Raw genomic sequence first — 14,381 nt, 5'->3', positions numbered from 1 at the left:
TCATCACAGAGACTCAGACTCAACACCCTACAGAGCCCAGGACGGCTTCATCACAGAGACTCAGTACCCTACAGTACCCAGGACGGCCTCATCAAGAGAGTTAGCACCCTGCAGCACCCAGGGTGGCCCCAAGACAGAGAGTCCTCCAGTCCCAAACATCAGCAGTGCCAGAGCTGAGAAAGCTGCCTGGGCATGAGAGATTCTTTATCTATCATCTATCAATTATTGATTAATCAATTATCTATCTATTAATCAGCTATCCATTACTATCGGTCAATTATCTGACAACCAATCATCTGTCAATCATGCATCTATATCAATTACCTATCAACCAATCACTGATCAGTCATACATCTATATAAATTATCAATCATCTGTCAATCAATTCCCTATCAATCATGCATCTGTATCGCTTATGTATCAATTGTCTGTCAATAAATCATCTATCAATCATGCATCTATACCAATTATCTGTCAATTATCAACCATCTATTAATCATGCATCTATATCAATTATCAATCATCTGTCAACCAATCATCAATCATACATTTCTATTAATGTCTATCAATTATCTGTCAATCACCTATTAATCATGTGTCTATATCAATTATCTGTCAACCAATCATCTATCAATCATACATTTATATTAATGCCTATCAATTATCTGTCAATCACCTATTAATCATGCATCTATATCAATTATCTATCATCTGTCAACCAATCAATCATACATTTATATTAATGTCTATCATCTGTCAATCACCTATTAATCATGCATCTATATCAATATCTATCCATCAACTATCTGTCAACCAATCACCTATCAATCATACATGTATGAATCAACTGTGTATCCTATGGTTTGAATCAATGTGTCCTCCGAGTGAGAACATGTCCCCGACACCCCACAGGGCACAGGACGCCCCACGACGGAGAATCCTCCAGCCCCCGATGTCGGCAGATGTGAGGCTGAGAAACCAGCCTTCGTGAGAAGTCACCTGCCTGATCCCAAAATCCCTGCCGACAGCCACCTTCTCACCCTGGCGACAGAGGAATAGGACTTCGTGGCCACAACCCAGGACCCCACGACTGGGCATTAAACCGGCAGGCGAGGAGACACACGTGTGTTTAACACGAGGCTTTTCTTGAGGAGTCTCGGGCTCGTCCTGGACGTCAGCCGTGCGGGTCCCCTGTGAGATGAGCTATTTTCAGCTGAGACTCCCCAGGAAGGGGGCAGTGACCCCCTGCCTGGTCCAGGGTTCCCAGGGCCAGGCTGGAGGCTGGATTCTTTCCCAGGACCCCCCGAGTTTCAGGGGGAGAGACCCTCTCCTGCGTCCCCAGCCTCATACACACGAGCCCTTTTTTGTTTGTTTGAGATGGAGTCTCGCTCTGTCGCCCAGGCTGGAGTGCAGTGGTGCGATCTCAGCTCACTGCAACCTCCGCCTCCCGGGTTCATGCCATTCTCCTGCCTCAGCCTCCCGAGCAGCTGGGACTACAGGTGCCCGCCACCACACCCGGCTAATTTTTTTCTTGTATTTTTAGTAGAGACGGGGTTTCACCATGTTAGCCAGGCTGGTCTTGATCTCCTGACCTCAAGTGATCCACCCACCTCGGCCTCCCCAAGTGCTGGGATGACAGGCGTGAGCCACCGCGCCCGGCCAACAGGTGAGACATCTTTATGTGCACAGTTCCGGGGTAACAAGCACGCTCACACTTTTCTGCAACCATCCCCGTGATTTGTCTCCAAAATTCCACTTCTAAACCCGAAACTGCGACCCCCCCCTTCAACGACAGCTCCATTCGCCCTCCTCAGCCCCCGGCACCCACCGTTATACTTTCTGTCTCTGTGACTCTGGTGACTCGAGGGACCTCCTCGAAGTGGAATCACACAGGACTTGTCTTTCTGTGTCTGGCTGATTGGTCAATATTGTCAAGCTTCTTCCACATGGTAGCAGGTGTCAGAATAGCCTCCCTTGTTAAGGAGTCTCGCTCTGTTGCAGGCTGGAGTGCGATGGGGCAATCTCGTCTCACTGCAACCTCCGTGTCCCAGGTTCAAGCAATTCTCCTGCCTCAGCCTCCTGAGTAGCTGGGATTACAGGCACCTGCCACCACTCCCAGCTAATTTCTTTTGTATTTTAGTAGAGACGGGGTTTCAACATGTTGGCCAGGCTGGTCTCGAACTCCTGAGCTCAGGCAATCTGTCCGCCTCAGCCTCCCAAAGTGCTGGGATGACAGGCGTGAGCCACTGTGTCCAGCCTTTTTTTCTTTTTTTGAGATGGAGTTTCACTCTCGTTGCCCAGGCTGGAGTGCAATGGTGCGATCTCAGCTCACTGCAACCTCCACCTCCCAGGTTCAAGCAATTCTCCTGCCTCAACCTCCTGAGTAGCTGGAACTACAGGCACCTGCCACCACTCCCAGCCAATTTCTTTCGTATTTTAGTAGAGACGGGGTTTCGCCATGTTGCCCAGGCTGGTCTCGAACTCCTGACTTCTGGTGATCCACCCGCCTCGGCCTCCCAGAGTGCTGGGATGACAGGCGTGAGTCACTGCGTCCGGCCACTTCTTACATGATTTCTGCAAAACCCTCAGCAATAAAAAATAGGCCAGGCACAGTGGCTCACGCCCATCATTGCAGGACCCTGGATGGCCGAGGCAGGAGGATCGCTTGAGGTTAACAGTTCAAGACCAGCCTGGACAACACAGTGAGGCCCCATCTCTACAAAAACTGTAAAAATCGGCCCAGCGTGGTGGCGGGCACCTGTGGTCCCAGCTCCTCCGGAGGCTGAGGCAGGAGAATCGCTCGAGCCCAGGAGGTGGAGGCTGCGGTGAGCCGACATCACACCCAGACTCCAGCCTGGGTGACAGAGCGAGACCCTGATTTGAACAGGCTCTGAGGTTCTATGACTGGACAACAGCCTCGGGTCCCGGCCGCCACCATCCCAAGGGCCCCCCTCTCTGTCCTGGGCCGTTTTTGCAGCTCGACGAGTCAGGGTGACGCTTTTCCATGGATCTAAGTTCATGTGAGACAGCTGTAAACAAATGCTGGAGGGGTGACCTCGAGGGGTGCCTGTTTCCGTCCCTGCCTCACAGATGGGGAAACTGGGGTGCAAAGATGGTGAGACACGCCCCCCTCAACGAGGCCACAGAGCTGGCAGGAGGCTCAGCCAGGACACGGTGCAGATGCCAGGCTGTCCAGGAAGAAAGGAAGGAAGAGAGGCAGGGAGGGAGGAAAGGAAGGAGGGAGGAAAGGAGGGACGGAGGAAAGGAAGGAGGGAGGAAAGGAAGGGAGGGAGGAAACAGGCTGCAGTGAGCCGAGATCACACCCAGACTCCAGCCTGGGTGACAGACCCTGATTGGAAACTGTCCAAACGCTGAGCCGTCTAGACGTCGAGCCGAGGCCACTCAGGTCAGCAGCAGCACATGCTGTGTGCCCACGAAGACGATTATTCTAAGGGAGAATCTCAGGGAGGATGTTTGTGGACTTTTGTAGCCACTTAAACAATTTCTACAAAAGAAATAATAAAATAAAATAGGCCCGGTGCGGTGGCTCACACCCGTCATCCCGGCACGTTGGGAGGCTGAGGTGCTGGACGGCTTGATCCCAGGAGTTCAAGACCAGCCCAGGCAACATGGAGAAACCCCGTCTCTACAAAAAATACAAAAAAATACAAAAAAATGAGTTGGGCGTGGTGGCAGGTGCCTCTGGTCCCGGCTACTCGGGAGGCTGAGGCGGGAGGATCACTTGAGGCCACAGTAGCCGGAGGCTGCTCTGAGCCGAGATCATTCCCGCCGTGCTCCAGCCCCCGGATGACAGAATGAGACCCTGTCTAGAAAAGCAAACCACAAAAAAAATAAACTTTTTGAGGAAAACCCCAACAGACCTCCAGAGCCCGTGTGAGGAGGGGTGTCTGCAGGCAAAGCCGGGAATGGGAGTCTTTTGCCCAAGAGGCCCTGGCGGCCGCCTGCTGCGTCTACAGACACGGAAATGTGTCCTTGGCCTTTTCTGCACAGCTTGGGACCCGGGTCCGAGAAGCGGCTTCCTCCCTCGGAATCTTGCAAGTGTGGGAGGGAACGGGGCGGCTGAGGAGATGACGGTGCAAAGTGAAACGCGGCTGATTTTCCTCTCCTGGGCTAGACCATTGCTCACTCCCGACAGCTTCTGTTCTGTGACGGGAGCGTCAGAAACACAGTCGAGCAAAGGTTTCACGACGTCAGTTCCGAAGTAGCCGGTTACGGGGCCTGAACGGCACGGGGTTGGCAGCCGGGGGAGGGATGGGGCTTGAACCCGGTTTGGGATGAATGTAAAGACCTGAGCCCCGGCCCACGAGGCGGGAAGGCGGTCCCGGGGTTCGCAGCCCGGGGACCCACAAGGCTGAAGGCAGTGACGTGTTTCAAAACTCAGCAAAGGGTCCGACAACGGTCCACCGTTTCCGTAGCTGGCACTGCCATCCTGTGGCCGAAGAGAAAATATGTCATGGAAAACGCGGGGCCGGGGCGGCCGTCCTGTCTCTGGGGCGTCCGTGCTGTCTCTGGGGTGTCCGTCCTGTCTCTGGGGCGTCCGTCCTGTCTCTGGGGCGCCCGTCCTGTCTCTGGGGCGTCCGTCCTGTCTCTGGGGCGTCCGTGCTGTCTCTGGGGCGTCCGTCCTGTCTCTGGGGCGTCCGTGCTGTCTCTGGGGCCTCCATCCTGTCTCTGGGGCGTCCGTCCTGTCTCTGGGGCGTCCGTGCTGTCTCTGGGGTGTCCGTCCTGTCTCTGGGGCGTCCGTCCTGTCTCTGGGGCGTCCGTGCTGTCTCTGGGGCCTCCGTCCTGTCTCTGGGGCATCCGTGCTGTCTCTGGGGTCTCCGTCCTGTCTCTGGGGCGTCCGTCCTGTCTCTGGGGTCTCTGTGCTGTCTCTGGGGGCGTCCGTCCTGTCTCTGGGGCATCAGTCCTGTCTCTGGGGCGTCCGTCCTGTCTCTGGGGTCTCCGTGCTGTCTCTGGGGGCGTCCGTCCTGTCTCTGGGGCATCAGTCCTGTCTCTGGGGTGTCCGTCCTGTCTCTGGGGGTGTCCGTGCTGTCTCTGGGGTCTCCGTGCTGTCTCTGGGGCGTCCGTCCTGTCTCTGGGGCGTCCGTCCTGTCTCTGGGGTGTCCGTCCTGTCACCCGTGTGCCTTTCATGTCACTGGAGTGGCCGTCCTGATTCCAGATTCTGATCCCGGCACAGGGAGCATAACCTTGAGCCTGTCTGGGAGGGAAGGAGCCCAGCCCTGCCATAGTTGTACATTGCTTGCATGTGAGTCACGACTGTGGAAACTCCGAGATGGACCAGACAGTCTGTGTTTAGGGAACCATTGCTTTTCATGAGGGACGTGTGCGATCAATATTTTTAAGAGATATTCACTGAAGTACTATCAGCATGAAAATCATTTTCTAATGGGTTAAATATACATCTAGATCATATATATCTCTATATGCACAAATACCTCCACACCTGTATAAATGCATATATACATACAAGGGATGTGTCTGTGTGTCTGTGTGTGTGTGTGGAGTTAGAGCTAGAAAAGAGATATTCACTGAAATATTAGCAATGGAAATCATGTTCTAATGGCTTAAATATACGTATATATCATATATATCTATATATGCACAAACACCTCCACACCTGTATAAATGCGTATATACATACAAGCTGTGTGTGTGTGTGTGTGTGTGTGTGTGTGTGTGGAGAGAGAGAGAGTGAGAAGGAGAGACAGAGGCAATTTGGTTGAGAATTATGTCCCCCCCAAAAGACGTCTTGGCCAGACGCGGTGGCTCACACCTCTAATCCCAGCACTTTGGGAGACCAGAGCGAGAGGAGGCCTTGAGCCCAGGAGTTCAACACCAGCCTGGGCAACGTAGCAAAGACGTCATCTCTACAAAACATTAGAAAATTAGCCCGGCACATGCCTGTGGTCTCCGCTGCTCGGGAGGCTGAGGCGGGAGGACGGCTTGAGCCCAGGAGTTGGAGGCTGCTGTGAGCCGAGATGGCACCACTGCACTCCAGCCTGGGTGACAGAGCGAGACCCTGTCTTAAAAATAAATAAATAGAAAAGAAGAGCCTGAGGCAGAGGAGAGAGGCAGCTTGCAGCCTGGGACCCGCGTCTACACCGCCAACAGCCTCTAAGGCTCTACGACCGGACAACAGCCTCGGGTCCCGGCCGCCACCATCCCAAGGGCCCCCCTCTCTGTCCTGGGCCGTTTTTGCAGGTTGACGAGTCAGGGTGACGCTCTTCCATGGATCTAAGTTCATGTGAGACAGCTGTAAACAAATGCTGGAGGGGTGACCTCGAGGGGTGCCTGTTGCCGTCCCTGCGTCACAGATGGGGAAGCTGAGGTGCAAAGATGGTGAGACACGCACCCCGCCCCCCTCAACGAGGCCGCAGAGCTGGCAGGAGGCTCAGCCAGGACACGGTGCAGATGCCAGGCTGTCCACAAAGAAAGGCAGGGAGGGAGAGAGGGAGGAAATTGGAAGGAAGGAGGGAACGAAAGGACGGAGGGAGGGAGGAAAGAAGGAAGGAAGGAGGGAGGCAGGAAGATTCCGTGTGAATTCACGCCATGAACAAACACTCCCTGAGCCCATCCTCCACGGCCCGTTCTGCTCCAACCCCGGGATGAACCATGACCTCAGCTGACCGGGCCTTTGGGGGGTCCTGGTGTCCCCTCCCCCAACCCCGGGATAAACCATGACCTCAGCCGACCAGGCCTTTGGGGGGTCCTGGTGTCCCCTCCCCCAACCCCGGGATGAACCATGACCTCAGCCGACCAGGCCTTTGGGGGGTCCTGGTGTCCCCTCCCCCAACCCCGGGATGAACCATGACCTCAGCCGACCAGGCCTTTGGGGGGTCCTGGTGTCCCCTCCCCCTAGAATGGCTCAGGTGGGTTTTCCTCTGAGGTCAAGCCTGCATCCCGGGGACCCCGCCTCCGTGGGCAGCTGGTGGGATGGGCCGTCGCCGCCTCCCTGGAGAGCCGAGAATCCAGGGAGACACCCAACGTGAGGACGATGGTGACATCACGATGACAGTGAAGACCAGCCCTGCGGCCACCGCTCCAGCGACGGAAGCCAGGGACCCCCCCACCTCCATCCAAACCTTTCAGACGAGATTGGGTTGACTTGAGGCTGTGGCAAGGGGGTGTTTTCCTGGCTGATATGACAACACTTTGCACAGAGCCACCTCCAGGAATCGCCCCACAACTCCCGAGACCCACCGGCTCGTGCCTTTGGGGGCTCAGGAGAAGAGGGGCCCCCGGCACTCCGTTCACACGTGTGCGATGAGACACACCTGCCCCCCCACCCCCCACGTGGCTTCTAAACACGATGCACCCCCTCTGTCCCCACTGGAGTTTTCTCTGCATGCAGATGTGGCTTTCCTCTGCCTGGAACCCTCAGTACCGTCCCCAGCGGTCACCTAAGGTTCATCGGATGCAGGCGGGAAAGACATAAGCCCCAGAGGTGTTTTCCCTGTTTATTTTAGACAGTTTCTTTCTCTCACCCAGGCTGGAGTGCAGTGGTGCCATCTCAGCTCACTGCAACCTCTGCCTCCCGGGTTCAAGCGATTCTCCTGCCTCAGCCTCTCGACTAGCTGGGATTACAGGCGCCCGCCACCACACCCAGCTAATTTTTTGTATTTTTAGCAGAGGCGGGGGGGTTGCACCATGTTGACCAGGCTGGTCTCGAACTCTTGACCTCAGGTGATCCGCCCGCCTTGTCCTCCCAAAGTGCTGGGATGACAGGCGTGAACCACCGCACCCGGCCCCTCCCAGGTATTTATGCACCCACCGTCGACAGCCCTTGGTTGGGAGAGACTCTGGAGGGTGCGGTTAATTCTGTGGTTCTCCCAACCTACCACTCGGGAGGGCTCCATCACCCAGAGAGGCCCCTACGCACGCAAAGGAAGCTGGACTCGAGGTCTCCATGCTCTGAGCAAGAAAGAGAGCGGAGACACAGCTGCATACAGACCCCTTCCCTTTGTCCTTGTCATGGAGTATCTGAGCTCCCAATCAGCCCTGCAGGCTGCTGGGAAACCCTTCAACCCTCCACCTTGCCATCCTCCTCTCCACCCTAAGCCTGCCTCCCTGTCTCGGTTCTCGGAATACACAGAGGTTTTTCCCAGCTCAGAGTCTTTGCACACGCTGATCCTTCTTCCTGCATTGCTTTTCCCTGCGCACAGCCAGCTCCTCCTTCTTGCTTCTTTTCAGCACTTTTTTTTTTTTTTGGAGACGGAGTCTCGCTCTGTTGCCCAGGCTGGAGGGCAGTGGCACGATCTTGGCTCACTGCAACCTCTGCCTCCCGGGTTCAAGTGATTCTCCTGCCTCAGCCTCCCGAGTAGCTGGGACTACAGGTGCCCGCCACCATGCCCGGCTAATTTTTTGTATTTTTAGTAGAGATGGGGTTTCACCGTGTTAGCCAGGCTGGTCTCGAACTCTTGACCTCAGATGATCCACCCGCCTTGTCCTCCCAAAGTGCTGGGATGACTGGTGTGAGCCACCGCACGTGGCCTGCTTGTGATGAGTTCTTTTGGAGAAATGAATTCACGGGGTGTTGAGATGGGGAATAACAAGGGTACCAACTTTGGCTGCTCCTGGAGGTGTCTTTGAAGGGGTAATGATATTTTAAAAATGCTGAAGGGGCCAGGTACGGTGGCTCACGCCTGGAATCCCAGCACTTCGGGAGGCTGAGGTGGGAGGATGACTTGAGGCCAGGAGTTTGAGACCAGCCTGGGAAACCTAGCAAGACTCTGTCTTTATGAAAAAAAAAAAAAAAAATTAGCCAAACATGGTGACATGCACCTGCCATTCCAGCTACTCAGGAGGCTGAGGCAGGAGGATCCCTTGAACCCGGGAGTGGAGGTTGCAGTGAGCCGAGTTCGCCCATTGCACTCTAGCCTGGGCAATGAGAGCAAGACTCCATCTCAAAAAAAAAAAAAAAAAGGCCACGCACGGTGGCTCACGCCTGTCATCGCAGCACTTTGGGAGGCCGAGGTGGGTGGATCACCTGAGGTCAGGAGTTCGAGACCAGCCTGACTAACATAGTGAAACCCAGTCTCTACTAACAATACAAAATTACCCAGGAGTGGTGGTGGGCGCCTGTAATCCCAGCTACTCGGGAGGCTGAGGCAGGAGGATGCCTTGAACCCCGGAGCAGAGGTTGCAGTGAGCCGAGTTCGCCCACTGTACTCCAGCCTACACAGTAAGAGCAAGACTCTGTCTCAAAAAAAAAAAAAAAAATAGGCCAGGTGCGGTGGCTCATGCCTGTCATCCCAGCACTTTGGGAGGCTGAGGCGGGCAGATCATGAGGTTGGGAGTTCGAGACCAGCCTAACTAAGATAGTGAAACCCAGTCTCTACTAAAAATACAAAATTAGCCGGGCATGGTGGTGCACACGTGTAATCCCAGCTACTCGGGAGGCTGAGGCAGGAGGATGCCTTGAACCCGGAAGCAGAAGTTGCAGTGAGCCAAGATTGCACCATTGCACTCCAGCCTGGGCAATGAGAGCAAGACCATCTCAAAAAAAAAAAAAAAAAAAAGAAAAAGGCCAGACATGGCGGCTCACGCCTGTAATCCCAGCACTTTAAGAGGCCGAGATGGATGGATCACCTGAGGTCAGGAGTTCCAGACCAGGCTGACCAACATGGTGAAACCCCGTCTCTACTAAAAATACAAAATTACCCAGGCGTGGTGGCAGGTGCCTGTACTCCCAGCTACTCGGGAGACTGAGGCAGGAGGATGCCTTGAACCCGGAAGCAGAGGTTGCCGTGAGCCAAGATCACGCCATTGCTCTCCAGCCTGGGTAACAAGAGCAAGACTCTGTCTCAAAAAAAAAAAAAAAAAAAACTCATCACAAGCAGCAGTTAGATGCTATTTTCTTTGTCTACTCACTCCTGATCTCTGCACTAGAGAGGAGGGAACCTCACACACCCCACCACGTACCCAGCACCCGGAACAGCACTCACAGCTCCGTGGACACTCAACAAGCGTTCACTGAAAGCCCCACTCAGCCAGGGCAGGGCCGGGAGGCTGTGACAGAAAGGAGAAAGAAGACGCGCATTTGGGGACAGCTCCCCAGGGGCCCGTCCATCAGCCAGGACCACTTCCAGGCTGTGTTTTTCTTCCCCGTCTCCGAGGCCGAGCAGGTGATAAATCTTTCACCGAAGCCGGGGCTTTGCAGGACGGAGCCGGCTGCCACCTACGTGGTGTGGCTCTGGGGACCCCAGGAACTCCCCACACGCCGTCCGCGTCCAGAAATCCCCCTGCCCCACCCCAACCCGGCCGCAGGTGCCTCAAAGTCCTTCCTTTCTTCCTCAGGGTAAGAAATTAACGGCAGCTGTGAAAACACTCATTTTATCTGGGTGGCGAAATACATTAGACAGGGGCCCTGCCGTTAACACCTTCGCCCCAAGGAGTTTATCCGGATTCCCGTCAGGACCTGGGAGGTCTGGACAGAGAAGGCTCCGGGGTCCCAAGAACCAGGACAGACGGGAGGCGGGAGCAGGTGGGGGCTCTGAGAGTTTGCAGAGCGAAAGTGTTCTCACAAGGAGGGCGCTGGCGCAGGACCTCCAGCCAGGAATGCAGGGACGTCCCTTAGACGTTCTCCGACGGCCCCTCACGAGACCCTGACGTCCTGGCCTGTGTGCTGTCTGCAGCATGAAAACAGTTGTTTTTATTATTATTATTATTATTATTATTATTATTATATTATTTTTGAGACAGAGTTTTTGCTCTGTTGCCCAGCCTGGAGTGCAGGGGTGCGATCTCGGCTCACTGCAACCTCCGCCTCCCGGGTTCAAGCGATTCTCCTGCCTCAGCCTCTCCTGAGTAACTGGGATTGCAGGCACCTGCCACCACCACGCCCGGCTAATTTTGTATTTTTAGTAGAGACAGGGTTTCTCCATGTTGGTCAGGCTGGTCTCGAGCTCCCTACCTCATGATCCGCCCGCCTCGGCCTCCCGAAGCGCTGGGATGACAGGCGTGCACCACCATGCCCGGCTAAGTTGGTATTTTTAGTAGAGACAGGCTTTCTCCATGTTGGTCAGGCTGCTTTTGAGCTCCTGACCTCGTGATCCGCCCGCCTCGGCCTCCCAAAGTGCTCGGATGACAGGCGTGAGCCACCACGCCCGGCTAAGTTTGTATTTTCAGTAGAGATGGGGTTTCTCCATGTTGGCCAGGATGTTCTCGAGCTCCTGACCTCATGATCCACCCGCCTCGGCCTCCCGAAGCGCTGGGATGACAGGCGTGAGCCACCGTGCCCGGCCTCTGGTTTGCAATTGTGACCGAGCTGGTAAGAGGTGGGGGCCAAGGGTTCTCAATCTGTTTTTTAAATTTTTGTGTTTTGTTTTGTTTTGTTTTCGAGACAAGATCTTGCTCTGTCGCCCAGGCTGGAGTGCGGTGGTGAGATCACAGCTCGCTACAGCCTCCAACTCCTGGGCTAAAGCGATCCTCCCACCTCAGCCTCTTCAGGAGCCGGGGCGACAGGCACCCGTGTCACTACGCCCAGCTGATCTGTCTTTTATGATTTTTAAAGACACGGTCTCGTTACGTTACCCAGGCTGGGGGACTCAAACTCGTGGCCTCCAGCGACCCTCGTGCCTCGGCCTCCCGTAGTGCTGGGACTGCAGGTGTGAGCCACCACGCCTGGCCCAAAACAAAATTTACAGAGCAGGACAAGCGCGGTGGCTCACGCCTGTCATCCCAGCACTTTGGGAGGCGGAGGCGGGCGGATCACTGGAGGTCAGGAGCTTGAGACCGGCCTGGCCGATGTGGTGAAACCTCATGTCTACCTAAAAAAACACAAAAATTAGCCGGGCATGGTGGCGGGCGTCTGTCGTCCCAGCTACTCAGGAGGCTGAGGCAGGAGAATCGCTTGAACCTGGGAGGCGGAGGTTGCAGTGAGCCGAGATCACACCACTGCACTCCAGCCTGGGCCACAGAGTGAGACTACATCTCAAAAAGAAAAGGAAAAAGAAAGAAGGAAGGAAGGAAAGGAAGGGAAGGAAAGGAAAGGAGGGAGGGAAGGGAGGTAAGGGAGGGAGGGAAGGGAGGGAAGGAAGGAAGGAAGGGAAGGAAGGAAGGGAAGGAAGGAAGGGAAGGAAGGAAGGGAAGGAAGGAAGGGAAGGAAGGAAGGGAAGGAAGGAAGAGGGGCCGGGCGCGGTGGCTCCCACCCATAATCCCAGCACTCTGGGAGGCCGAGGCGGGCGGATCACCTGGGGTCAGGAGCTTGAGACCAGCCTGGCCAACACGGTGAAACCCCGTCTCTAGTAAATATACAAAAATTAGCCGGGCGTGGTGGCAGGCGCCTGTCGTCTCAGCTATTGGGAGGCTGAGGCAGGAGGATCGCTTGAACCCGGGAGGCGGAGGTTGCAGTGAGCTGAGATCGCACCATTGCACTCCAGCCTCGGCGACACAGAGAGACTCATCTCAAAAAATAAAAATAAAAGTTCCATGGGGAAATGAGCCAGAATATGTGTATCCCCAGCTGTTCTCTAAAGACTGAGGGTATTTGTGCTGTTAGGCGTCTCAAAGTTTTCTCGAATTAATTTATTTTTTTCCTTTATCATCTTCCAGAACTTTCTGCCAGCAGCCTGCGTGCATTTCTTTTGCAAGCAGAAGGCAGCCCTTTTTTTTTTAATGTTAGAATCAAAGAGCCGGTTTCTTTCTGTCTTTGTCAGGAGGATGCGGTACGGTGACCGGGCCCCAGGGCTGCACCGACCGCGTTTTGTGGGGACAGACGTGGGCAGAGTGGCTGAGATAGGAGGGGAACAGGTGCCCTCGGGCTGGGGCAGGGAGAGGGCACTGCCACGCATCGCCCTGATCATTCTATTCTGTCGCAGAGCCGTGGGCAGGACCCCCTCGGGCAGGTGAGAGCCCCAGGTGAGCCCCCCCCGCCTCACCTGGCATGCAGGCCGGGGAGGTGACCCCACCCGCAGGTCACAGACACGGGTGTTCTTACGGGAAGCCCGGAGCGTCCTGCGTGGCGAGGTGCCCGGGGAGGCGGCGGTGGGGGGTGGATCGGCAGAAACAAGTTGTGTTCTGAGGCGCAGCGCCTGTGATGTGGGAGCCGGGCGCCCGGGGTTTGCAGACGTTTCTCGGTAATGTTTGTGCAGAAGCAAAGATCGAGCTCCTGGCTGGAGACCGTGAGGCCACTATAGAGAGACCACGGATGCTGGCTGCCGGGAAGGTGGCAATTAGCAGGATTTATGGTGTTTGCACGGCTCCCTGCGGTGGGGCATCCTCTTGGAGGCGGCCCTGGGGAGCAGCGTGGGGTCCAGACGGTGTCTCCGGCCCGGCTTCAGAACAAGCCACGCGGCGTCCGGGAGGACCCGTTGTCAGAGGCGAATGAACCGCAGTGACTCCCTCTTGACTGACGGCTGATTCCTCGCCTGCAGACGTTTACGGTCAAGGGAACGAATGCGGCTCACGCCTGGAATCCCAGCGCTCTGGGAGGCCGAGGCGGGCGGATCACGAGGTCAGGAGTTCGAGACCAGCCTGGCCAACACGGTGAAACCCCGTCTCTACTAAAAACACAAAAATTAGCCGGGCGTGGTGGCGGGTGCCTGTAATCGCAGCTGCTCAGGAGGCTGAGGCGGGAGAATCACTTGAACCCGGGAGGTGGAGGTTGCGGTGAGCAGAGATGGCACCACTGCACTCCAGCCTGGGGACAGAGTGAGACTCCATCTCAGAAAAAAAAAAAAAAAGGAAGAAATTGATAATGTTTACTGGCACGGTGGCTCACGCCTGTAATCCCAGCACGTTGGAAGGCTGAGGTGGGTGGATCACATGAGGTTGGCAGTTCGAGGCCAGCCTGACCAACATGGAGAAACCCCGTCTCTACTAAAAAAAATACAAAATTAGCCGGGCGTGGTGGCGGGCGCCTGTCATCCCAGCTACTCGGGAGGCTGAGGCAGGAGAATTCCTTGAACCCGGGAGGCGGAGGTTGAGGTGAGCTGAGATCGCACCACTGCACTCCAGCCTGGGCAACAAGAGCGAAACTCCATCTCAAAAAAAAAAAAAAAGTATTTACTAAACAGCCCCAGACTTGGGAGTGTCCAGGTATCTTAATATCTGGAGAACAAAGGCATTTTCCTAAGTTTGCTCTAAACATAATACCAATTCTCGGCCGGGCGCGGTGTTTCACGCCTGTCATCCCAGCACTTTGGGAGGCCGAGGCGGGCGGATCAGGTAGTCAGGGGTTCGAGACCAGCCTGGCCAATATGGTAAAACCCGTGTCTATTAAAAGTACAACGATTAGCCGGGTGTGGCGGGTGCCTGTAGTCCCAGCTACTCAGGAGGCTGAGGCAGGAGAATGGCTTGAACCCGGGAGGTGGAGGTTGCAGTGAGCCGAGATCGCGCCACCGCACTCCAGCCTGGGCGACAGA

The 14,381-nt window shown here is 55.4% G+C and overlaps 1 long non-coding RNA gene across 2 annotated transcripts in view, besides 1 other annotated feature; it reads right to left on the bottom strand.

The window, feature by feature from the left end:
• Nucleotides 1-2,297, bottom strand: part of LOC102724521 (uncharacterized) — a 42,736-nt gene extending 40,439 nt beyond the window's left edge. The window contains exon 1 of one of the 2 annotated variants that reach the window (XR_001755744.2): nucleotides 1,829-2,297. This is a non-coding gene — a long non-coding RNA (uncharacterized LOC102724521). The remainder of the gene's footprint in view (nucleotides 1-1,828) is intronic. The other variant, XR_007068359.1, reaches the window with a different exon arrangement.
• Nucleotides 3,317-3,488: a silencer, noted in NCBI's record as "fragment chrX:389565-389736 (GRCh37/hg19 assembly coordinates)". NCBI's record gives its function as "represses an EF-1alpha promoter that drives an FKBP-Casp9 reporter gene in an ReSE screen in K562 erythroleukemia cells {active_cell/tissue: K562}" and the evidence as "EXISTENCE:reporter gene assay evidence [ECO:0000049][PMID:32094911]".

This window comes from Homo sapiens, chromosome X, assembly GCF_000001405.40.
Source record: "Homo sapiens chromosome X, GRCh38.p14 Primary Assembly".
Taxonomy (NCBI): Eukaryota; Metazoa; Chordata; class Mammalia; order Primates; family Hominidae; genus Homo; species Homo sapiens.
This window is presented reverse-complemented; position numbering and strand designations above follow the sequence as displayed.